General features: G+C 35.8%; 1 protein-coding gene across 3 annotated transcripts in view, besides 1 other annotated feature; it reads right to left on the minus strand.

Moving 5' to 3' along the window:
- The window catches only part of CSMD1 (CUB and Sushi multiple domains 1), a 2059554-nt gene that overhangs the window by 444092 nt on the left and 1588244 nt on the right, over positions 1-27218 (minus strand). For all 3 annotated transcript variants that reach the window (XM_011534752.3, NM_033225.6, XM_017013731.2), the window contains exons 15-18: positions 26575-26769; positions 19939-20077; positions 16742-16929; positions 8042-8230 (exon numbers count right to left, since the gene is read on the minus strand). In XM_011534752.3, coding sequence (XP_011533054.1) covers positions 8042-8230; positions 16742-16929; positions 19939-20077; positions 26575-26769 — 711 coding nt within the window. The remainder of the gene's footprint in view (positions 1-8041; positions 8231-16741; positions 16930-19938; positions 20078-26574; positions 26770-27218) is intronic.
- Positions 18326-18495: an enhancer, noted in NCBI's record as "experimental_103217 CRE fragment used in MPRA reporter constructs". NCBI's record gives its function as "activates a minimal promoter by MPRAs in K562 erythroleukemia cells, with activity observed for both the introgressed and non-introgressed 8:3255385 variant alleles {active_cell/tissue: K562}" and the evidence as "EXISTENCE:reporter gene assay evidence [ECO:0000049][PMID:34662402]".

Raw genomic sequence — 27218 nt, forward strand, 5'->3', positions numbered from 1 at the left:
CAAAAGAACATAGTTGGAGGCATCGTGCTACCTGACTTCGAACTATACTACCAGGCTACAGTAACAAAAACAGCAAGGTACTGGTACCAAAGCAGATATATAGACCAATGGAACAGAACAGAGGTCTCTGAAATAACACCACATATCTACAACCAACTGACCTTTGACAAATGTGATAAAAACAAGCAATGGGGAAAGGATTCCGTATTTAATAAATGGTGTTGGGAAAACTGGCTAGCCATATGCAGAAAACTGAAACTGGACCCCTTCCTTACACTTTATACAAAAATTAACTCAAGATGGATTAAAGACTTAAACATAAGACCTAAAACCATAAAAACCCTAGAAGAAAACATAAGCAATACAATTCAGGACATAGGCATGGGCAAGGACTTCATGACTAAAACACCAAAAAGCAATGGCAACAGAATCCAAAATAGACAAATGGGATATAATTAAAGAGCTTCTGCACTGCAAAAGAAAGTACCTCAGAGTGAACAGGCAACCTACAGAATGGGAGAAAAATTTTGCAATCTATCCATCTGACAAAGGGCTAATACCCAGAATCTACAAAGAACTTGAACAAATTTACAACAAAAAACAACCCCATCAAAAAGTGGGTGAAGGATATGAACAGACACTTCTCTAAAGAAGACATTTATGCAGCCAACAAACATAAGAAAAAAAGCTCATCATCACTGGTCATTAGAGAAATGCACATCGAAACCACAGTGAGACACAGTCTCACAACCGTTAGAAAGGGGATCACTAAAAAGTCAGGAAACAACAGATGCTGGAGAGGCTGTGGAGAAACAGGAACACTTTTACACTGTTGGTGGGAGTGTAAATTAGTTCAACCATTGTGGAAGACAGTGTGGTGATTCCTCAAGGATCTAGAACCAGAAATACCATTTGACTCAGAAATCCCATTACTGGGTATGTACCCAAAGGATTATAAATCATTCTACTATGAAGACATATACACACATATGTTTATTGCAGCCCTGTTCACAATAGCAAGGACTTGGAACAAACCCAAATGTCCATCAATGATAGGCTGGATAAAGACAATGTGGCACATATACATCATGGAATACTACGCAGCCATAAAAAAGGATGAGTTCATGTCCTTTGCAGGGACATGGATGAATCTGGAAACCATCACTGTCGGTAGACTAACATAGGAATACAAAACCAAACACCACATGTTCTCACTCATAAGAGGGAGCTGAACAATGAGAACACATGGACACAGGCTGGGGAAACATCACACACTGGGTCCTGTTCGGAGAATGCAGGGCTAGGGGAGGCATAGCATTAGAAGAAATACCTAATGTAGATGATGGGTTGTTGGGTGCAGCAAAACACCATGGCGTGTGTATACCTATGTAACAAACCTGCACGATCCGCACATGTGTCCCAGAACTTAAAGTATAATGAAAAAAAAAAAAGTTTTGGTTAGATAGTAAAATATTTTAAAAAGTAAGTTACCAATGCTCAAAGAAGAATTTGGGGATGGTACTTGAATGCACAGGTATGTGAGAAGGTTGTTTTGAGAAAAACCTCACTTACAATCAAAATTATGTATCTCAAATGAGTCAGGCAAAGTCTCTTGCTTGGGTATATCAGTTTTCATTACCAGATCAAGAGCATACGTAATTCAATGACTGTGCTATGATGAACAGGGTGCGTTCACCCATCACCTTACATTCAGAGTACTACAACTTTTCAATCTTTACAGGTATGACTAAAATGACTGCAAGTAAAACAACTTGACAAGCCCCATGTCGGTACCTGTTCAACAGATCTACCCACATGAAAAAAAAAAGAGAGCAGCTTACACACACCCTATGTTAAAATTCTATTTTTGTCTATAGTCCAAATTAACAAAAATAAATTATTAAAAATGCACAGTATCATCCAAGAAAGCCATATGTGTTTGCATGGCACATAAACATTCAAGTAAAATTATTGATACAATTAACTTATTCTATTGCAAATTTAGGGTAATTTAATAAAACATCAAACAGATTCAAGTTCAGTTACACATGAAGAAAACTTGAATATTTTAAGGGTTATCATTCTTATTGCAAATATTTTTAATATAGAACCCAAAAATATGACAAATATTTGCATCGTCTATATGACATCCTTGAGTTTTACAAAATTATAATTAGCCAGTAGTTATCATCCTTCTGACACTAAAAATTATACAGACACATGTAGTTTATTTATTTTTCATTACTAGAGTTCCAATTACAAAAATAAGACTCAGTAACATAAATTCAAATAATACCAAAAAATGTAGAGTGAAAAATAAAAAATCTCACTGCTCCCACGCTACAGCCTAGTTATCTCTGAAGAGGCGAGCATGAGAGTTACAATTTTAGAATGTCTATTTTCAGTCAATTTCTATGCAATTCTGTGTGTACCTGCAATTACATATATCTATACAGTATATGCATATACACAACATGCATTGTTCTATTACCTCTTATTTTTTCCTTTAAAAAGAATGTATCAGGCTGGGCGCGGTGGCTCACATCTATAATCCCAGCACTTTGGGAGGCCGAGGCAGGCAGATTACCTGAGGTCAGGAGTTCGAGACCAGCCTGGCCAACATGGCAAAACCCTGTCTCTACTAAAAAATACAAAAATTAGCTGGGCATGGTGGTGGGAGCCTGTAATCCCGGCTGCTCGGGAGGCTGAGGCAGGGTAATCGCTTGAACCTGGGAGGCGGAGGTTTTAGTGAGCCGAGATCCTGTCACTGTGCTCCAGCAGGAAAGGGAAAAAGTTATTATTTATTTGCATTCTTCTGATTCCTAGTCAGCACTGGAATATTTTTTAAAGTTTATTGGGTTAGGGTTATTTATATATATATATAAATTTATATATGTATATTTATTATTAGCATTCCAATAACTTTAGTAATTAGTTATATATATGTTATTATATAATATATAACACATAATATATTATATAATAACATATATAATATAATATATATAATATATTATATATAATCTATATATTTAATTAGTTATGTATATAAATTTATATATATATAAATTTATATAAATATATATTTATTATTAGCATTATGTCTTTCTCTATATATATCTATAATAGATATATAAATATCTCTATATAATATATAATAATAAATATAAATATAAATATCTCTCTCTATATAGAGATAGATATAAAATGTATCTGCATAGCTCATTTTCTCATAGATCTGTTGGCTTATTAGTGTTGCATTTCTTCTCTCTTCCAGTAGCAGAGTATGATTATTTCATGTGTATATTACATGGAGAATGCAACTATTTTTGGTTGTCTGACCCTTTATTTTACATCTTTAATAGAATAACTTTTAGTGTGCATATAGCAAAATTGATCAATGTTTTTTCATTTACTGTTTCTGGATTTCTTTAGTTTTCCAAGATTTAAAAACTAAGATTTCTCAAAAAAACCCAAAACTAAATGACAAAGAAAACATGATGCTCACAGGCATGGCCACTTAAACGCTGTGACAAAGTCAGCCGAACAATGAGAGGAGAAACAGGATCTCAAATACCAATGATGCCAGCGCATGTAGATAGCCAGATTGGAGAAGAAATGGATCTGGACACTACATCGTTCCTTACCACAAATCCACAAATTTTTAGATGGATTGAAGTTATAAATTTAAAAGATAAACATAAGTTTTTACTTTTAGGGGTGATTAACAAGTTATAGATCATGGTGATGCTTTCATAGATGTTCATATGTATCACAAATCGCATCAAATTGTTCACATTAAACATGCAGTTTACTGCATTTCAGTCACACCTCAATAAAGCTGTTAAAATGTTTAAAGTTTTTAGGAGAGAACAACAGAATGTCTTCATTACTCTGAACGGAGGGAAGCCTTCTTCCACACTAGGAAAACCTCATGCATGGAGGGAAGCCTTCTTCCACACTAGAAAAACCTCATGCATGGAGGGAAGCCTTCTTCCACACTAGAAAAACCTCATGCATGGAGGGAAGCCTTCTTCCACACTAGGAAAACCTCATGCATGGAGGGAAGCCTTCTTCCACACTAGGAAAACCTCATGCACGAATGAAAACAGTGAAATATGGGACTATCTTAAAATTAAAAATTTCTATTCATCGAAATGATGCCAATAAGAGAAGGAGAAGAACAACTCCAGAATAAAAGACTTACAATGTGTAGATCGAAGGAACTGTATCTAAATATTTACACAACACCTATAATTCAGTAAGATAAACGCATGTGACCCAATAGAAATGGAAGCAAAGAAAGAGATGCTTTATAAGAGATGATACATCAATGTCCAATAAATATACAAAAATGTGCTCAGAACAACTGAAATGTCAGCAAACAGTAGAATGAAATAAAAACTTTTGATATGTTTAAGCAATAATATTAGATGATGAGAAGCAGCGAAACACAGCTAACTGCCATAATATGGATGGACCCCACAGACTTAAGGTTGCAGGAAAGAAGCTGGACAAACAGGACCTTCCCTGGATAATTTCATTTATTTACATAACCACTAGTGCCAGACAATTAAGGTTCAACCCTGGGAGGCAGTGACTGGGCGAGGCTGTGAAAGCGAAGTGTGGAGTCCTGGAAAAGTTCGTTTAGTGACCTACATGGTCTTGAGCTGACAGGGACATGTTTACTCTGGGAAATGCATTGAGCTACACACTTATACTTGTAGAAATAAATAAATATGTAGACATCTTTAAAAAATGGTTGTCTGAGAGATAGTCTAAATTTTCACATAATAATTTTAAGTTTTGAATCTTTATATCTTCAATCAATGTGTAACTTATTTCATGTACATTTTTAAACATTTTTAAATCAAATCAGGCATCCAATTTGAGCAACACTATGTCTTAATAGGATATCCCTTTTCTACAAAATGGAATAATTATATTATAAATTAAGTTTCTGTACAGACAAAGATCTGTTACTAGAATCCTTACGCTATTGCACTAATATATTTGTGTATTTCCATACCAATTCCACATTGTTCGGTTTATCATTAGTTTTTCATATGCTCTGATACAACATGGGACAGTCCTTCCTTATTATTCTCAAAAATATATTTCGTATCCATTTGGAGCATTTCTTTTCCAAATTAATTTTTAAATATTTGCAAATTGCTATTTATATATTGCTATATACATATAAATTAATATAGATGCTATTTATATATAAATATATATTTATATAAATTATATATAAATATATTTATAATATTTATATATATTATATAAATATATATTTATATAAATTATATAAATATATATTTATATAATATATATTAATATATGCTATTTATATATAAATATATAATTAAATAAAATAGTATACATATTTATATATGCTATTTATATGTAAATATATATTATATATGCAAATATATAATATATATTATATATGCTTATATATTACATATGCTAATATAATATATAATATATGCATATATAATATATAATATATATGCATATATAGCATATATAATACATATGCTATTTATATATAAATATATAATATATAAATATAATATATATAATATATAAATATATAATATATAATATATAAATATATATATAATTTATATATAAAATATATATATAAATAAAAATATATATAATATATAAATATATAATACATAATATATAAATATATAATACATAATATATAAATATATAGAAGTCTAAATATATAAATAGAAATGTAAAATCATATACATATACATGCATATCTATGAATGCATATGTATGTATACATGTGTATGTATGAATATATATGTATGTATGTATATAGGCCTTTACATTTCTTGCTAGATATATTATTCCTGGATAATTTTTTTGTGTTTTTGTGTTTTACCCTACATGTTTTTATTGTATTTCTAATAAGTTATATCCTATGCGGAAATCTATTGACCTGTTATCCTGAATGCAGCCACCTACTGAACTGATTGTTGCTAAAAGTCAACTATCTTCTCTTTATAATATTTCTAATTCATATCATTTTCATATACTTTTGCATTTGTTAGGATCTTCAAAGCAATGTTACACAATACTTCTAAAACCAAGGAGTATATCCTGTTCTTGACTTTCAAGGGAATTTTATAAGAGTTTACTATTAATTATGGTGTTTTCTGTAGGCAAATTCACTTATATGACGGTTCTCTGTATATTTATGAAAGCGATATATTATTTTAGAGTTTATGTTTAAATATTTATTTTAGAGTTTACTTAAAGTTTAATGTAAAAAAATGAGACATGTCTTTCCAGAAAAACTTAGGCATAACTACTGTTCACAGGTTTTCACCTCTTTCATCTGCTTGGATAAGAAGAAGTTGGCCAGAGAATTCCTCTGTGGGAAAATGCCAGGGCTGGGTATGCATAGTCCATGTTGCAGATTCACATATGAGAGGAAAAAAAAAGCACTAGGTAATTTCTGCCACCATCTGTGATTGTCGTGAAATAGAAGAGGAATTAAGAATGTACATTTTAGCAATTGTCTAAATTCTTACTGTCTTTCCTGCTGCAATAGTAATTCTTAGCTCATTTAAGATTGGTAAGTGGCAAAATGATATCAATACAATGTCTAAATTACCTTGGTGCTTACACCATATTCCCTAGACAAATGGAGTTGATGTATTAGAATTATAACCAATAGCAGGAAAAGAAAAATGCCTCAGCTCATCTGCACAAAAAAGGAACCCTTTTGCATCTCTATTCAGAAACTTAGCAGAAAGCACCTTCACCTGGGGGGCTCACCCCTGCGTTGCTTGGCCAGTGGCTCATGTCAGGCTGCACCTCTTTCTCAGCCTGCTCGTGTGGCCCCACAGACGCCGAACTCGACTCCCACCTACTCCTGCCCAGAGTGCAGCATTCCCACCGGTTCCAGCTGGTTCGCACACTTCCCACACTTCCTGAGAGGGCTCCAGCAGCTCTGTGCTGTCCACCTGCACTCTGTGGTCTCGGCCACAGTGCCAGTTACTGTGTGGGTTCGTGCTTTGGTGACAAAGGTCAAAGATTTTGAGTGATCTGCAGTTAAGCAGAATTTTTCCATAAACCCTGTTATTTTGGGTGCTCATTTTAAAGAAGTCAAGGTGTTTAATGAATGCATGCATCATGTTTGAAAGGAAATACCTTTGTCTGTGAAAAGTATTGAAGATGTAAATGAAATATTTTTGCTTTTTCCATAGAAACAATGTGTTTTGGAACACTGTTTTCCATAGAAACAATGTTTCCTGGAACGTTTTTCTGCAGAAACAATGTTTCTTGGAATGTTATTTTCCATAGAAACAATGTTATACTGGGGTTATATTCATGGTCAAGGGCAAAATACCCCAAGTTTTTTTGGCAAATGATTACAAGCAACATATTTACCTAACTGTTATTATAACTACACACAGCATAGTATAACGTTGAGCAATACAATAACACAAAATAATCAGGAATGTTATTTGTCTTGAGATTCCCAAGAGAAGATTTGTGTAGGACAACAGGAGTGGCTGTTATCACAAAAAGCTGCTGAAGATCTCCTGACAGCTTCTGAGCTCAGAATGAGAACTCCCAGGAGAAGGCTCTGCTAGACATTCAGTCCACGGAAACAAAGACACGGACTGTAGACTGAGAGGAAGTGAGACACTGGGACGTATGTCAGGGGAAAATCAGGTCTGACATCCTAGGATATGTGTGGCGACTATACCGCCCCACGTGCCAGTTTCAATAAATACCATATGTAAAACACATGTGCAGAACTAAGCTCCCTAAGTTTGTTCATTCGGGGATAAAGTTGAAGGACAGTTGTTCTATCTAGTACATACACGGTGGTAGGTAAACTTCAAATGATCGGGAATGATACGATGATGGTATACAACTTCTCAGAGGGAACTCACGCCAGTCGTAAGGTACCACCCCCTGAAATACACACACCACCCAGCTAGTTAGACGTGTGCGCTGTCTCTGCACACCCTGCTGGTGCATTGCCTCACTGAGCTGTACCTACCGTCGCAGCTGGGCAAGGCGTGGTTCCACTGGTGGTTCCTCTCACAGACGAGGGGCTCGTCGTCACTTAGTGTGTACCCCGGGTCACAGCTGAAAGTCACTGTGGACCTGATGCCAAAGTCTCCACCGTGGCGATGGCCGTTCACAGGGATGCCCGGGTCCAGGCAGGAATCCGACTCAAGCGTCACACCTGGATGCACAGAACGAATGCAGTCGATGAGGATCTTTCTGGTTGATTGAAAATAATAGAGACCCACGCCATCAACTACGAAATAGTCTCAGAAATAATAAGACCTGAAACATTATGCAAGTGAACCCAACAATCCATGGACATAAAAGCCAATGCATCTTCAAACATTTGACCTCGTTTTTTAAAAGAGAGATTTATATTGTTATGCTGTTTACCAGATATTATCTACATACAACAACCTTGAATAATTAATTAACTTCTCTGAATTTTACTTTTCTTCTTGGAAAATCAATGAATTGCACTAAATAAAGTCTAAGACTTTTCCTGTTTTCTATTTTTCACCACCACTCTCCCTGTGTCTTATATATGTATTAAATATAGACATATGTACTTCTATATTTATATATTCCAGTTAGATTTTGGCAGTTTAACTTTCAAATAAATGCATACATACACCCAAACATATACACATATAATGCAATTAAAAACTGTGCTAGTGTTATTTTTCTAAGTTTGCATTCCATAAATCCATGCTATTTTCAAATTTTAGTTTAAGTCAGCCACTTGCAAGATAGCTACTATTAGCCTTTGCTAACGATGGGAAAAATTAATGTGCATGAAGTAATTATGATCATATCATTATGAGAGTTTCTTTTCTCCTCTCACATTTCTCATTTCTCTTTTTAGAAAAACATATATTTTAAGAGCTAAGGAAAATGAGAATAAGGGAAAAGAATATCATTGTAATGTTTACATATGCGAAGAAATAAAAAATCCTTGTTATTGCTGTGTCATCCTCTCAGTAAACATCAGAACATTAGAATGAATATCTGAACTGTGAATTAAAAGTCTTAAAAATATTTCTAATTTAAAGACTGTTTAGTCTCTAAAGGTGATCTTCGGGATATTGTTTCTGATCATTGCATATGTTTTATTTTTCCAAAATTTGAGTGCTATAACTTGGGCCTGGCCCCAATACTTTTTTCTTAAACTGTTTTTCTAACAAATTTTCTAAACACTAACACATGTCTATTGCCCTAAACAACAGAATGTAACTGTCCTTGCTGCTGCGCAGTATGGCAGGAAAGCCTCCTTCCAACTCTGGAGGAGCTTTCAATCTGCCAGAGGCAACGTGGATATCATTTGGCTAGAAATCTATTACCTACCACCTGCTCCTCCCTCCCTCTCTCTACATACACACCACACACATGCATACACACACACACACACACACACACACACACACACACACACACACATTCACTTTCAGAGGCATTGTTTATGACTTCTTCCAGGACACTCCCACAGATTTTATGCATTATTGGCTCCAAATGAACACATGGTACCCAATGCTGGGTGAATGATTTTTGTTGTTGTTGTTTACTTTTATTTTAAAACCCAGTGCTGGGTGAATGATTTTTTGTTGTTGTTGTTTGTTTACTTTTATTTTAAGTTCAGGGGTACATGTGCAGGTTTGTTACATTGGTAAACTTTTGTCATGGGAGTTTGTTGTACAGATTATTTCCTCACCCAAGTATTAAGCCTAGTGCCCATTAGTTGTTTTTCCCGATCCTCTCCTTCCTGCTACCCTCAACCCTCTGATAGGCCCCAGTGTGTGTTGTTCCCTCTATGTGTCCATGTGTTTTCATCATTTAGCTCCCACTTATAAGTGAGAACATGCGGCGTTTGGTTGCCTGTTGCTGCATTAGTTTGCTAAGGATAATGACATCCAGCTCCTAGCATCAAGATCAAAATCAAGACAAGAATTCCCTCAAAAGAAGAAGCTCTGCTGAAGAAATGCACTGATCTCTAGGTTTCTGGGGAAAAAAAACAGTTAACTAAATAATTTCATTTCTTCAAAAAGGTTTCTGTGGTCACTAAACAACAGTGTATGCACTACGGCAAAACAGTAATAGGAACGATTATCTTAGAATAAGTGAGGATTATATATTAATGGTTTTAATAAGTGAGGATTATATATTAATGGTTTTAATAATGAAATTTATAAACCATAAACTAAACTTTTCCCACACAAAATTTACAGTGAAAAGAGACAAACTGCGGTAGAAATAAAAACATCGAATTAAAATGTTGAATTATTTACATTTCAAACTGAATAAACTCTTAAGGTCACAATTGATGCTTAGTTCCAATATTATGCCATAATACTTCCATTCATTTTTAAATAATAATTGACACCACTATTGAATTTTGAAATATGCAGACATTGTTCTCGTTTTCATTACAAACTGTTTGAATGGAGAGTACAGGACGGGAGGACTGTTGAGTGGTAGAATTATGATACTACATTCGATTTCCAGTTCAACTGAAACTGGCCATGTAAAAGAATCCTGAAACAAGAAAATGGTGAGAAAGAACATCTGGAATTTGGCTGGGCACGGTGGCTCATGCTTGTAATCCCAGCACTTTGGGAGGCCGAGGTGGGTGGATCACCTGATGTCAGGAGTTTGAGACCAGCCTGGCCAACCTGATGAAAACCTGTCTCTGCTAAAAATATAAAAATTAGCCAGGTGTGGTGGTGGGCACCTGGAATCCCAGCTACTTGGGAGGCTGAGTCAGGAGAAACGCTTGAACTCAGGAGGCAGAGGATGCAGTGAGCCAAGGTTGTGCCGTTGCATTCCAGCCTGGGCGACAGAGCAAGACTCTGTCTCAAAAAAAAAAAAAAAAAAAAAAAAAGGAATTTTGTAGCAGGTGATTTATCTCCAATGGAACAATACATTTATGATAAACTAAGACCAGTCTGTGGACACAGGTAGCCAATTTACCTTGTGGGAAAGGTAGGGCAAAGTCCTACCTTCTTTCCCATTCTGTCTCCTGCCTGACAGCACAAAGAGAAATACAGACCACCGGACTTTGTTGAAACGACGTGTATATTCAGAGTCTGTTCCCACTCCTTCTTACTTGAACCTTAAAGCAACAATGAATTTTTGATACAAATAGTTACAAACATTACTTTTTTTTTTTCAATTGGTCTTTGCAAAATAAGTGACTGAATACATTTGCTACTTAATGAATAAAGGGAGTTGATTACTTTGCAAATAATCCGTGTGCAGCTCATACGGAGGTACATTTGATATGAGCAGGGTTCTGTATGAATCAACAGTCTTTATAAAACTCCTAGTCCAAGGAAGGAATGAACATTTCCTGAGCACATTTCATATGCCGAGCTTAGAGATGTCACTTCTCACAGCCTCCGAGAGGTTTCAAAATAGAGGTTGAAAAGTCACAGTTGATAAAGCCAGTGAGCCAAGAAATTAAGCAAACTGGCCATGTTACATTATTTACTGATATTGAAACCTGAGCCTTTGCCTGCTTTTCTCCTCTCTCTCATGTATGCATCCATGCGTGTGCCTGTGAGTGTTAGCATGCATGGGCATGTTATATATACCTTTGCATTGCATCCAGTACCATTACATCCCGACCACTCTCCTTTCCTTTTCTGATCATATAAAAAGTCACCGAATCTCAGCAAACAATTGGTGTGGTGTGCACGCACATATAAACCACTAAATATACTCCTTTATCACAATGTTTCTTCCATGAATAACATGATATATCAATCACACAGTAGAGTATGTACATTTACAAGTGATGAATCTTTCTTCTGCCTTCAGAGATGATTAACAAGATACTTTTGACAGCATTTTCAAAAAATGCTCTAAAATTAAATGGAAAACCTTCATACCCTTGAGAATTCCATTTATTTTCCAATTTCTTACAAAATTATGACAATTTTAAAGTGGTGATTTAAAGATCAACATACAAAGCAGATGATCATTCTGGAGCGAGAATGCAATCGCTATTATATACAGACACTGTGCCACATTCCTCGTAAAGAATGGCTAGACTGTCGCTGGACACTAACATATGAGATGATTCCTAAGACTGAGTGCATGAAGCAGAACTGCAATTCTAGGTTTGCTTTTACAAAAGCCTCAAAAAAATGACTTCAACCTTTGAGCCACACAATTCAGAAAGGCCTTCTGGAGTGAATGCTGTTTACAGTAGCTCACATTGCCTTGTAGCACCGCTGCAAATATAAGTCAGCCTCGAGTACCTGTGGCTGTGATTTCTGCAACACATTTTGTCTGTAGAGATCATTGGCATGGGCCTCTATGGGCATGAAGAAGCGTCATTAATAATTTCAGAAAGCAAGGAGTGTTTATAATGTGAAACATGTATGATGAAACAGAAGAGATGAGCAATATTCCTGTTTTTAAGAGGCATAAAGAGTTTGATATAAATCATTCTTGGGTCATGGATGAAGCTGGAAACCATCATTCTCAGCAAACTATCACAAAGACAAAAAACCAAACACCTCATGTTCTCACTCATAGGTGGGAATTGAACAATGAGAACAAATGGATCCAGGAAGGGGAACATCACACACCAGGGCCTGTTGTGCGGTGGGGGGAGGGGGGAGGGATAGCATTAGGAGATATACCTAATGTTAAATGATGAGTTAATGGGTGCACCACATCAACATGGCACATGTATACATATGTAACTAACCTGCACGTTGTCACATGTACCCTAAAACTTAAAGTATAATAAAAAAATAAAATAAATAAAAATTGGATGACATTTTCACTTGAAAAAAAATAATAATTCTTGGGTCACAGGCAACCCACTTTCAAAGAATGTGTTGGATGAGTGAGTGTAATCATTTTCTAGTGCCTGCATCTTGGCTTCAGAACCTATTTTGTCGAAGGGTGCTAGACGGGGTTACCTGGATGAAGGGGTTGGTAGCATTTTTCTCTTCCACGCTTTGCCACTTTTTCTCTGTCTCTGCTTTTCTCGCTGGACTCATTGGTTCCTTTAACCCTCCGTGACCTCTGCTGGCCTTGGCCCCTTCCCTCCTGCTTGCCTGTGGGTTTTCTCTCTCCCTGGAGCCCGGGATCTGCGTCTGCCTTCACCTTATTCAGAATCACCTCGAGGACTTGATTAAAAGCTCAGGATTCTGATTTTCATCATGAGTTCCCTGAATCACAATATTTGGAATCTGGGCTTGGGGCTGTACAATTTACTAAGCTCCCAGGGATGTGTTAGTGCACTATGATGTTTGAAGAAACCTTCCCCTTCAGCACCGGGTAAACGGGGACACCCTCTGAGTGGGTTGCGAGCCTCTGAAAGCACTCATATCTCTACACCACCCACAGAAATAGCAACCAGAACATCTGAGCTGGTATTCAGGCATTGGTTTTATTTTAAACCCCGCAGGTAACCCTTAGGTGCAGGGCTGGTGATAAGCACTCATAAAATCCCAGGCCTTTCCTGACTCATTTTCTTACAACAAGCAAACAAAAAGCCATGTCCTGAACCTCATTCACTTATGTACATTTCCATATGTCTCTTCAAATACACAGCGACTGATACATAAATAAGAAGTGATCCCAAGTCAAGGTTCAGTATCACATCCTTCTGAGGTCCTATTTCTCCCTTAAGTCAGAGGAATAGGTGACAAACCTTTGAGAGCCTTCTGGAAGTTCACTATATGCAAGTCTAGATGTGTGTTTAGAGCAGTGAGCCTTTGAAGTCACAGTGCTGGAAAGTTCCAAACGCAACAATTTCCTGTCTTCACTCACTAGGTGAGGCCTCTGCTCACTTCTGTGGCTATACAGCTACCTCCTGAGACTTCCAACAAGGTGGAAAGAAGAGGGAATGCTAGACTCTCCAGCAGATCAGAACTTTATGACTCTCACACAATTATCACTGTATAAACAGGCATCATCTTGGTGACAGTTTTCTTCTTCTTTTTAGGGATGGAGAGAAAGAAAAATGGCATTTTTTTCATGTGTCTGTTGGCTGCATAAATGTCTTCTTTTGAGAAGTGTCTGTTCATATCCTTCACCCACTTTCACAATAGCAAAGACTTGGAAACAACCCAAATGCCTAAAAATGATAGACTGGATTGAGAAAATATGGCACATATACACAATGGAATAGTATGCAACCATAAAAATTGATGAGTTCATGTCTTTTGTAGGGACATGGATGAAGCTGGAAACCATCATTCTCAGCAAACTATGGCAAAGACAAAAAACCAAACACCACATGTTCTCACTCATAGGTGGGAATTGAACAATGAGAACACATGGACACAGGAAGGGGAACATCACACTCTGGGGCCTGTTGTGGGGTGTGGGGAGGGGGCAGGGATAGCATTAGGAGATATACCTAATGTAAATGACGAGTTAATGGGTGCAGCACACCAACATGGCACATGTATACATATGTAACAAACCTGCACGTTGTGCACATGTACCCTAGAACTTAACGTATAATAATAATAATAATAAAAAAATAAATTATATATATATATATATATATATATATATATATATATATATATAGAAAAAAAGAAAAATGGCAAAGAGCTTTACTCTCTGAGGGGTACTCCAGGTGATGGAAGAATGCCTTACGAAGCCTGCCCTCTACTTTTAAACACAGGATAAATGAAAAGAATACCAAAACATAGGGTAGTCATTCTTTTAAGATTATAAAAATAGTTGTCAGGATTACTTACATATTAAATTATTATATTATAGTATAATATAATGTGTATTCCATATTTTATAATAATAAAATATTATTATTATAATATTAGTGAGGATGACAAGCTAAATAGAAATTTATGAAATGACTTTTTATCATTTCCTGATTTTCCAGAAAGAGAAATAAGAAGAAGACATTTATTTAAATGACTTGGATAAACAAATGAAATTAGTTTCTTCTGCCTTCACTTAGCCTTTGGAACACATTCCCTCAAATGGAAGTAGAAAAAGCAAAGTCATCTACAGCTACAGAAATACAGATGAAAAGAAAGGAAAAGTGTTCTAATATTTGTCAATGCCTGAAAATAATTATTCTCTGAAGTTTCATGCACTATATATCTAAGAGTCAAGAAATTCTGGTGTAGAAAAAGTTGGGGGGAGGGGTGTGGGAGAGGATGAGAAAATACAAGGCTTATTAGGGATCTTACAAATTCAGATCACTGCAATGTTTACACATATTGTTACTTCAAAGAGAAGTGACAACTCGAATGGACATTTTAAAGAAACAAAATGTAAAATTTCCTGGTTCTTAAATTTTACTTTAAGTTTCAAAATACGTTACTTTGGAGCAAATGTTGTATATCTATATATGTGAAGAGTAATAACTGAATTAAATTTGAAATTTGTCATTAAGTCATTGATAAGCAATTTTCCTGATATTGGAATATTTTTATCTAAAAGTAGACAAAATCTTAAGATATACATGCATATGCACGTTTGTGTATACTTATATGAGTATGTAAAACCGAGGAATGCACATAACAGGTTGTTAATTTAAATGTGCTGGAGTGGGGCTCAGGGAGAGGGTAACAAGAGTAATAGGAGGTGATGTGGGGAATGGAAGGCAAGAAAACGAACAAAAGGAGATTTGAAACCCATCATAGTAGACATGATTCTATGCATGCATTTGTAAAATCATACGTGTGGGTATATGTAAATTTTAAAAACATCTTTACAATAGTACTTGAGATAAAGCTCTGAAAAAGAACAGCCATAAAACTTTGGCAAAATAAAAGTCTGATTCCTTCAGGTCCAATAGTAATTGCCACTTTTTCTCGCTTTTTCCGTGCTACTCTTTGAGGGAAGTGTTTTCAAACAGAGAAAAGAATAACAGCTGCTTTGCTTTGTTTTGTTTTAATTGGCTAATGTTAAAAATGTATTCCTAGGGGTGATTCCCATCAGCTAGATTTCAGAAGTATATTTGCATAAATATTATTATAAAATAATACAATTACTTAATCTCATCATTTCAGAAGCTAAAACTTTGATTTCAGTAAACAAGGGCAGGAAAACTTTCCATGTGGAAGTTTGGACTGTTTGCAAAATACATTCCATTATAATATTTTGACAATTGTTTTAAAATATGTTTAATAATTGTTTTAAAGTATTATTCATGCTTGTTGAAAGACTGTTAACAATTGTTTGGAATTTGGTAAGGTTTAGCAGGTTTTAATTCCTTCGCCTCTTGTTACCTGACTTTCACCCAGTGAAACGTGTCTATCTATACTCAGATTCGGTACCACAAATTGACCTAACCCTGTTTTTCTAGCAAGGATCCTTTTCTCCATTGCCCAGGTTAACATAATTTTAGTAATATATCCTATAAGACTTTTGCTCAGAAAGTACATTTTCTAATAATAGAAGTATATTATTACTTCCATTATTCTATGCAGAAGATGAACCCATTTCATTGTTTTTATTATTTTACTTTGTCATACGCGATGGATACGTATTTTTGAGAGTTAAAAGGCAGTAATTCCAAGATGCTCTCTTATGAATAACAGAAAGTTCTTACAATTGCATAGTATGGTTTTGCTAGAGTCAAGCAGGATCAGTAAACTAGCACAGTCATCTGCAGGCTGGAAATAAGAACCCAGATCTTTAGTTCTCCCATGCATGCTGCCCTGCCGGGCTGTCAAGGGAAGGTGCAACTCACTCTCATAGTGGATGAGGAAGCCGATGCTGGAGCGGCTGTTGTCAGTGGTGAACAGCAGGTACATGAAGTTCCCGGTGCTGATGAGGAACTGGGGTGCCTGGGTGCCGTGGTACTCGCCGATCAGTGGGGACGAACTGGCTGGCCCATCTCTGACCTCCAAGGTGTCATAATTGACCTCTGTCTGAAATCTGCAAATATATACATCCCATCAGAAAAGACATGCAGAACTGCCAGCTTACAGACGTGCTCCTGACATCCTCATTCCTTAATCAGAAACCCATGTACGTTAACATGAAGAAAATAGTTGAAATTACATATGCTTAAAACTTGGGTACAAATATAAGGATAGTATGTTCTTTTCTTGATGAGACGGCACAGCTTAAATCCCTTTCTCTTATCTAATATTCTGTCTTACAATATTACAGACACAAGAGGAGGCCTTTATTCAGCTTAAACAAAAATACTATGAACCAGATTAGTTTTCTTAGATGATAGATTGATAGATAGATAGATAGACAAATAGATTATTCCCAAATAGAAAAAACTCAATTATATATTTTTAAACTATTTTTACCATTCCCTATTTAACATAATTATAGACATCTTAAAATGGGTGCACTAGAGTGAAATCATCTCTTAAACAAAGAAGATCATTAAAAATGTGTGATGAGTTTAAACACCTTTCCTGAAAAAAAAAATCCTGTGCCTTTTTAAATTGCAATAACTCTTTCAAGACATTAGAACAACCATGGGTATGTTGCCATTTCAGACATGAAAGGATACTTTAATAACTTGAGAAAGTTACAACAGCTTCCAAAAACTGCTTAAGTTTTCTTATGCTTCCCGAGAATCTAGCCTGAGATTTTATATATATATATAAAGTTGCAGCCACTTGGCTCCCCTGTGATGCAATGTAGGTACCACTCCAGGCACGGAGATAATTTTCTAAGTGGGCCTATCTGATCCTCGAAGAGCTAACCCGGTTTCTGAGTGCCTGACTTGGCTCTCAGGGAGCAGCTTAAGCGTCATAAGACTCTGACTCACTCAGTCACTTTGAGCCAAAGGATCCCACGGAAGCCTGTGCCATTAGCTCTGTGCTGGATGTTGCTGATGAATTGGGAGAAAACTTGGGAGAGGGGAAGCAATCTTAGCCTCATGGCGTGTAGCAACAGAAAACGATGTTGAAACCAAAGGGCTGTGTCCTGTATACATTAGATCATGGATACACTGATTAGTGCAAATGCACATGATTACCTATTCCTGCAACTAGTGAATGTGGTACCCTGGGCCCCATTCTTCCATAAAGAGGAATTTGAACCATTTGTATATCACACATCTGGACCAGAATAAGGCCACAGGCTGCCACATTTGGGATTGCATAGTGCCAACTTTGTCTTATGACACTATTCTAAATCTTTTTCTTAAAACTGATTTCTCAGTTGTTTGAGTTCAAATTCAAGAAGTCTGGCTAAGCGTGAAAGCAATCTCCTTTGACATAGTCATGCTGAAGTTGTCCTATCCTGTTTCTTTAGTAACAGTGAGGACTGACAAAGTGCCTATTTCAACAGCTGGAAGATTTCCAGGATGACGTTGGAAACAGAAACATCTGGATGTTCTTTGCTGTTGGGCAGCCTAACACACACCGCCTGGCAATACCATCAGCACAGAGCTCAGAATTTGTGCGCACAATCCCATCCTTTAAGGTGTCAGCCCATCGGTCATGGTGGAAATGAACATTTCCTTATGCAATTCATCTTTTAAGAGCTGTGTACTATGTCTAGAGTACAGATCACACATGTCTAAAAATATCAGAAATATCGGGTATTTCCAAATGGAATTTAGCAAAACATCACACTGAAACAATACTGAATGAATGAGATTGGGAAAAATCAAGCAAATATCTTCCTTCAGGCAACTGAAAATAGAGGGCTAATAGACTGGCCAGAGAAGAATATAGGATCACTACTTTTACTAAATTACTTAAATTTGATACGCTGCTGGGAGTCAGGGCGTGCTTCAGCTCCGCCTGCCAATACCAGTAAGTGGAGAAATTAGTAAGAAACCCAACGTAATCAACTGAATACTTACAGAGTTAGTATTTTTTCAAATGATTGATTATACACAGTAATTCACTTTCTAATATAGATGGATTTATAAACAACTTTTTTCTCTTGTTCTAAGAGATTGTGCTATTGGGGATTATTATTATTTTGTCAGAAGCAAGTGAAAAAATAAAAATAATTATTTCAAATAAATACAATTACTGAAAGTTAACACAACTCCTGCTGAAAAACCTTTCCTGTGTTGATGTTAGCATTGATCATTTGAAAACAAAAAGATAATAATACAATGAAGTTCATCTATCTTGAGACACCATAATATTCCGGATACTGAAATCCAGAATGTAGTCTAGTCAAGAAGAAGGTCATTGTTAGAGAAAGCCCAATGTTATGCAGAGAATAACCTTGAAACTTTCAACAAAGATGCCTCCCTAGCCTTTGGTTCATGTTGCTCATGACAAAATCTTTTTAGTTTTTAATCATCAATTTGGTCTCAGTGTTGAGAGAAATGGGAAAACCCTTCTTATATAGAACTCCAATAGCCTGCTTATTTTTTAATAAACAAATACCTACGCAGCCCAGCATGCTTATTTTTTAGATCATGAAATGCATTATTAAATAGCTAAGCCAAGCAACATTCTAGTGATAATGTCACTCATAGGCGATTAGTTGGTGATTGATCTGCTGTCCGCACCCCATTGCCCGCTCAGCATCACTAGCTGCCCTCGAGTGACCAGCAGCCACCACCAGAACAGGAGAGCTGATTTCCTCTACCACAGAAGACACCTAAGGGACCATGGGACCCAGAGTGGTTTCCATGTGCAATCAGACATCAAGCTGAATTGATTCCAGTGCAGGTCCCAAACCCAGAGTCAGATACAAGGGTCGGACCTCGGGAATGGTCCTCCAGGACTGGCAGTTCCCCTACTAACCTCCAGAGCATTGGCTCACTGTGGGCTTAGAGGATACCACTGAAGAAGAACAAAACTTACAAGTAAGTGCCTGTTTCTGGTAAAGTGTGCTCCTATGCGGGAACCGAAAAAAACTGCCATCTTTTTAAAGTTTAAGATCCATTTACTAAAACTATGGAAGAGACACACACCATTGGGTCCAAATGAAGACTAATTTTTTTCTTACCTGTCAAAAGTTATTTTGATAGAGTGGCCTGGTTTTGCTTCAATTATCCATTCACAATGTAAAGAATCCTTATAATATCCTGGCCATCCAGGAGGCAAAATGACTCCGCTGGACGCTGTCAGATGTCCACCACATGGAGCTAAAACAAGACGTAGAATATCTATTAGATCCAATGAGACAGAAGGATATGCCATAACAATACCCGGATAAAAGCCAGAATCTGCTTCTGTGTTCATAGACTGAATATTTTCAAGTATCAAAGCAAATCTTATTCCCAAGGAAACTGTACATTTATTGAAAGCAGGGTCTATATATGCTACCTCCATGTACTTACCATTACCTTGAAGCAAAGTTCTTTTTCTCTAGTAATGGTAATGTATACGTGAGTTCTCTGTGCTAACTGAATTATCTCATTTAACTGCTAACCATTTCATTACGTACATGCCCGGTTATCTATAGTTTACATGCATTTGGAATTTAACAATTATCTATACATAAGCAAATGTAAAATGACCTTACATCTCAAGATGGATACATATACACACCCTTAGGTGTGTGTATGCATGTGTTTATTTACTTCCATTGTGTGCATTTTATTAAAATAAATAGCCACATGCAACATATTATTTGTGAGTGTGAAACAAAACAAAATGTTCAATCAAATTTGATAAGTGTAGAATTAGACTGCATTGAACCTTTTGCAAGGTTTTGTGACAGTGATTTGTAATTGCAAAGGAGAAATAAAGTTTGAAAGGGTATATAATTACTGCTCAGTGAAAGTGATTATGCATACCTGTATCATCTAAAGGAATTTTAAATAGCATACCAATATTTCATACCGTAATTAAGAATATGTCCCTGGCCACATGTTTTCTTTCAGATTTTATGTATTCTCTCTCAAAATTATTTGCCATTAGCAATCATCTTTGTGGATTTATAGATATCAAATAAAGTACGTGAAAATACTCCAAGGTGAAAAAATCCTTTTGGAAAAAATATTTATTTTATTTAAAAATGGCCATATGTATAATGTAAAAATGCAAAAAGTTTATATCATTTTAGCCATGTTTTGATGCTAGAAAAAATGTGAATTAGTGAAATTTATGGATTTACCAATAGTATCTTAATTTACGTCAGGAAACAAATACAGAAAAAATAAAAGCAAAAATTTATGGAAACTGCATGACCATATATTGGAATGTGGCAAATATATTTGAAGTAACGTTTGGAAATTTTGTTGATATGGGAAAATCTTTGCAATAGAATGTTAAACTTGAAAAGTGGATAAAAAATTGTCCATCTGTTATAAATGTAATAAAAGAAAAATTTTATTCAGTGAACACGGCAGTGGAAATTAAAAACATGTTAATAATGGATAGCACTGGGATTGCTTTATAGATCATATTTTTTGATATATTATATATATATATTTTTCCCAAATAAGTTGCAATTGTTATTTTTATACCTATGCATTATTCTGTAGTTTAAAAATATGAAAGCAGGGTAATTTTTATTAACTTGAGCTCCTGAAGAACACTTGATTTTTTGTGATAATTTTTAAAACAACCAAAATTATACTTATTAATATTTTAATTTTTCTTGTTAATTTCTTAAATTCACATTTGCAGCCTATGAATCACATATCGATATACATAATTATATGTAATTCAATTCTTTTGTTTTTTAAAGCAATGCAACACATTCTTTTATGAATACAACATAAGCAAAATTAAATATGTTAAATATATAACTTTTATTTTGTCATGTTTAACCATCCAAAGATACTATATAAGAAAGACATATGGCAGATGCAGAATTCCAAAAAAATTATGATAGTTGAGCAATTTCTAAAATCTGCATGATAAGTTATTTCTATGTGTGAATTTCCATATAAATACATAACCAACCAAAAGTTTCCTTTACTTTAGTAATTTTATTTTGCATTTTTATGTTTCTTGGAATATGTCTAACTTGCCAAATATTAATTATTTTATTATACTCTTACCCATCACTTTGTAATTTACAGTGTATGTTAGAACCTGAATTGCTTTATCCTGATGAAATAGACACTTTAATAATAACACTGCCGATGAGCAAAATTTACACTAAAATAATAATGATCTCAGTAAGTAGATTGTAAGTAAGTAAATAGTAAGTAATAAGTTTGTATTAGTCAGTTTGGATTAGATTACACTGCCGTAACTAACAGCCCTGCAACTGTAGTAGCTACAGTTGGAAGTGAATTTCTCACAAATGTGGCATGTCTAGGTCTGTGAGACACAGGTCCCTTCTTCAGTTGCTATGGCAGGTGGAAAAAGGTCTTAGGAAAGCAATCAAAGACGCTGACCCAGAAGTTGAGTACAGCATTTCCTCATATACCTAATTGACCAGAACCCATGACAAGGTTCCTTTAATCTACAAGATTCAAGAAAAGACATTCCACCTGATGGAGACCAAAAATATTTGATGAACATCATCAATCATGTTCATACTCACTTAGCTGATAACAAAAAAAGCAAATATACCAATGAGCCAATGAGGTGTTTAGAAAGCAATTTCTTCTTTGCTTTTTTTTTTTGATGATTTAAATTACAGTGATGAATTCCCTGATACTGTATTTCTAAAATACACACACACACATACACCCCTTCTTGATTACATATGTGTATTTTCCTATGGCTTTATTTTTATTAGAACAATCTCATTGGGGTTACATTAATGCTGGCTTGATGAAATGTTATGAAGGATGCAGCCTGTCTTCTCCATTATCTGTGATAGTGCACAACACTAAGGTTCTCTAGACTTGAAAGAGAACTCACTCACACCCCTGTAGGGTACTTGTGTCTTTTTCAATGTTCAATCCTTAATCTTTTTTTTCAATTCTTTTCTATGCTACTTTACGCACATTTTATACTTTTTATGTGAGTCATTTTTGGTATTTTATCTTTTGCTAAAAAAATCACCCGTTTTCTACAGACTTTAAGCTTTGCTGCCACAGAGTTGGTGTTTTCATGTATAGTCATTTTTCCCCAAAATAGCTTGAGATTTTCATGATGCCACTGAGCTGCATTGAGGAATACGAGCCTGTTAGAAGCAGAAGAAAGAGAGAAAGAGAAACCTTTTGCCCGGAGGCCATAAAATTTATACTCAACATGTGCCTGGCATCCAGAAAATTCTGCCAGAATAAATAAATAACCTACGCTTTTAAATAAAAAAATTGCTCTATTGTGAGCTTTTCACTGTTTACGTAAAGTTATATTATTTTTATGGTATGGATAATTTCTCTTTTATGTTACCAAATATCTATAACATTTTTCTTTCCTAGTTCTTTTTATCAGAATCATAAACAGTTTGTCTATTTTATTGATATTAACAACTCACTCTTGCTTTAAATTGTTTATAACACTTGAATTTTATTAATAGGATCCTAATTTATTTTTGTTTTTTCTAACTTTTTAATCTTATTATTAAATTTCTTTATTTTTTGATCATTTTGTTCTACGTTAGAGGACTTAAAGATAGACATTTTCCTTGAAACACAGGTTTTGCTGTCTCACATTGTTTCTCATAGAAAGTACTGTTCTAATGGTTTCCAGATGGGATAGTATAGGCATTAAGGTTTGAGTTTCTCTTTAATGTAAAATTATAGTGGACTTTTTATGGATAGACATTTGCTTGTAGTTCTATTTTTATTACATGTTTCTACTTTAATTGGAATATTACAGGGCATGAGACCTATAACTTATTTTAATTTGTTAAGGTTCACTTTGTGGTCAGTTATATAATTGATTTAAACAAAACACTTTTCAAGAAAAACAATAAATAAGAGTATTCTGTAAGGGATGTGAGCTTCTTCAAACATTTCTTAAATCAAGTTTGTTATCTGTATTACTCACTGCTTCATTGCTATTTTATTTTTTTCCCTACTAGATGCATTTACTTCTGAAAGTTGGCTTTCTATTTGTTTTCAGCAGAGGCAGTGATCGGGGTACCCGCCTGTTCCATCGGAGCGTCCCCTACCTTCTCTGAGGCTCAGCTGCACTCAGTCATTAGGTTTCTCAACGCAGGTAGACTTTTAACATCTTTTCCTATTAACTTTTTCTTTCTGCCGAGGGCTTCCTTTGTTAACAACCTATAGCTGGGTTTTGCCTTTAACCTCATCCTGTTTGTGCTGTGGTCCACACTCACCCTGCAGGTTGTAACATATCTGCAATCAGCCTATTATGGTAAAGGACATAAGGCACAGCTTGACTTGTGGCCAGGACAGAACAGAGATGAGAGTGTAGTGTTCACTTTAAACTTCTTTCTCCTGAAAATTCATGCTTCCAAGTCAGTGAAATATGCTTGGCTAGAATACGATTTGCACCTGTGACTAACTGTGCCCTATCATTAGTATCATATCTTTGAGCACCACATGTGTATATATTTACTCATTTATAAAAGATGAAAACCTACCCATTTATTAACATTTTGTACAGCATAAAACATAAAAACTGTACATTTACCATATGTGATGGAAATACATACAAATGAAATTTCAGCTATTAAGAGGGTTTTGTTGCCCTTCTATTTATCAATATTTCACCCATGGGTGGTGCTTCTTGTCCACCCACAAATTGTTTTAACAATGTATGAAAAGGGTGAACATCAGAATACCCTCCTTTACGTGTAGTATTACCAGACGATACTATAAACAGGACCTGGTTAGAAGTTTCTACTTCTCCTCTGAGGTCAGGAGTTTGAGACCAGCCTGGCCAACATGTTGAAACGTCCCCTCTACTAAAAATACAAAAATTAGCCAGGCGTGGTGGCAGGTGTCTGTAGTCCCAGTTACTCAGGAAGGCTGAGGCAGAAGAACTGCTTGAATCTGGGAGGCGGAGGTTGCAGTGAGCTGAGATTGCACCACTGCACTCCAGCCTGGGTGACAGAGCCAGACGCTATCTCAAAAAAAAAAAAAAAAAAAAAATTGCGTTTCTACTTTGAGTAATGGTGAGTAACTTCTTTGGAGGTGGGACCAGGGCAGGATGAGGTGGTGAAGGATCATGCCCCCACCATACTGTGGTTGTCATGGAGGAGTTTAATGCTCCACACCTAGACCCCAGCTCTGCTTAGAGTCCTTGATAGAGATGATGGGTCTGAGAATGTTATTCCGAGGTATTTTAGATAGGGCAGAAATTCTCAACTGTTTATGATATTTAACATATATTCCTGTTCTATTCACTTATTAAAAATAAATACATGTTGACTAAAGACAACTGAGAAAATAAAAATAAACTAAGAGGGAAAAATCACCCATAACCATAATTAACATTTTGGTGTGTAGCCTTTTTTTAGTGTTTTACAAAGTTATTATCATGAGATATGTATGTATTTATGACACATGTGCCTGCATCCTCTGTTTTTCACATGCTAAGGACACCTGAGACGCTTTGAGCTTATGATCTTTGTATTGATACCTGTTATTCTTCATGATTTATCTAATCAGTCCTCTGCTGTTTGAAGCTGAATCATTTCCAACTCTTCACTGCTATAAATAGTCTTGCAGAAAACATTCTTGAAAAAAACCTGTATAGTTGCTTATTTCTTTATGATATTGATCCAGGAATATAACTTATGACTCAAAGGACAAGAATAATTTTAAGAGTCCTACTAAGAATTTACACTACAATACCATGATTTTATATAATCAATAGTATGATTAGGAAATGCCAGTTTCTACATAACCTTTTCAATAATACGTCTCATTCACCTGTTTAAATCTATGCTAACAAGATAGACAAAAATGATATTTTACTTTTCTTCTTAAATTTGTACTTCTTTGATATACACTAGAGGTAAGTTTTTAAGTTTTTTAAAAATATTTTCTTAGCTTATTGCGCACTGACTATTCTGATATGGACTGTGAACATATACTCTAAGTAAACATTTTTAAAATGAGTAATTATTAGAGGCAACATCTTTTTCCTTAAAATATTTTCCTCTCTATATTTATTAGATAAGTAACCAGAACAGAAATATGAAGAAGAAAATTAGGTGGTATTTATGTCGGCTGTAACAAGAACAACAAAATAGTTAACCATAAGCAACACTGTTATAGGTTGAATTCTGTCCCCCCAAAAAATCATACATTGAGGTCCTAACCCTCAGCGCCTCAGATGGTGACTGTATTTGAAGATTGGGTACTTGCAGATGAATTTAGTTAGGATAAGGTGTTGCTGGAAGAAGGGGACCCCCAATCCAATATGATTGTGTCCTTTTAACAAGGAGAATTTAGACACAGGGACAGACACACACACAGGGAGAGCTCCTTTTGAGTCTGGAGGCAGAGATGAGGGTGAGGCTTCTCCAGCCATGGAATGCCAGAGATTGCCAAACACCGCCAGGAGCTGGAGGACCAGCCTGAGGCAGATCCTCCCTCAGAGTTCCAGAAGGACCCCACCCTGCCGATGACACCTGGATCTCAGACTTCCAGCCTCCAGAACTGGGAGACTGTACACTCCTGTTGGTTAAGTGACTGTGTGTGGTATTTTGTTAGGGCAGCCCTAGCAAGCTAACACAGTTTGTTGGTTTGTGTGTGTGCCTGAAGATAGATGTGTGATTTCAAAGGAGAAGAGCGGGGGGTGGCAGGGACTGCACCTTCACAGCGGGGCACGGTGGAGCTCCAGACCACGTTCCCGTCTTGCAGTATGCAGGTAATGGACTCGGATCCCTGGGTCTTGACAAAGCCATCATCACAGTGGAAAGAAACCGAGCTCCCGAGTAGAAACCTGTCACCAAAACGTCGTCCGTTTATAGGAATGCCAGGATCATGGCACTCATTCTGACCAAATGCTGAAAGAAAAAGAAGAAGAAAAAAGGAATAAAAATACTTGAGTATTAATTACATGTATTAAAAAAGAAGAAAACAGAACAAGCTTATAAAGCATTCATATAATGTATATAATTATATAAATTTCAGTTGTATCATTCATAGATAGATAATACATTAATAAATAGGATATCAGTGTCTAGTGAGAAAGAGCGAGCAGGGAGATGAACAAATATAACTATCATTTATGCAGCAATTTAGGGTTTGAAAAGCACTTTTCATAGGAGCTTAGACAAAGAGAGAACTGATATGGTGGGTGGTAGAAAGTGTCTGGGCTCAAGATTTCTCTCGTTAGAATCCTGACTTTTTTTCTTACTATGTCAGAGGACTCTGACATTGGGCATATGACTCTGACGCTCTAAGCCTAGCTATCTTTATTTACAGAATGAGAGACTACTAAATTTATATCCTC

This window comes from Homo sapiens, chromosome 8, assembly GCF_000001405.40.
Source record: "Homo sapiens chromosome 8, GRCh38.p14 Primary Assembly".
Taxonomy (NCBI): Eukaryota; Metazoa; Chordata; class Mammalia; order Primates; family Hominidae; genus Homo; species Homo sapiens.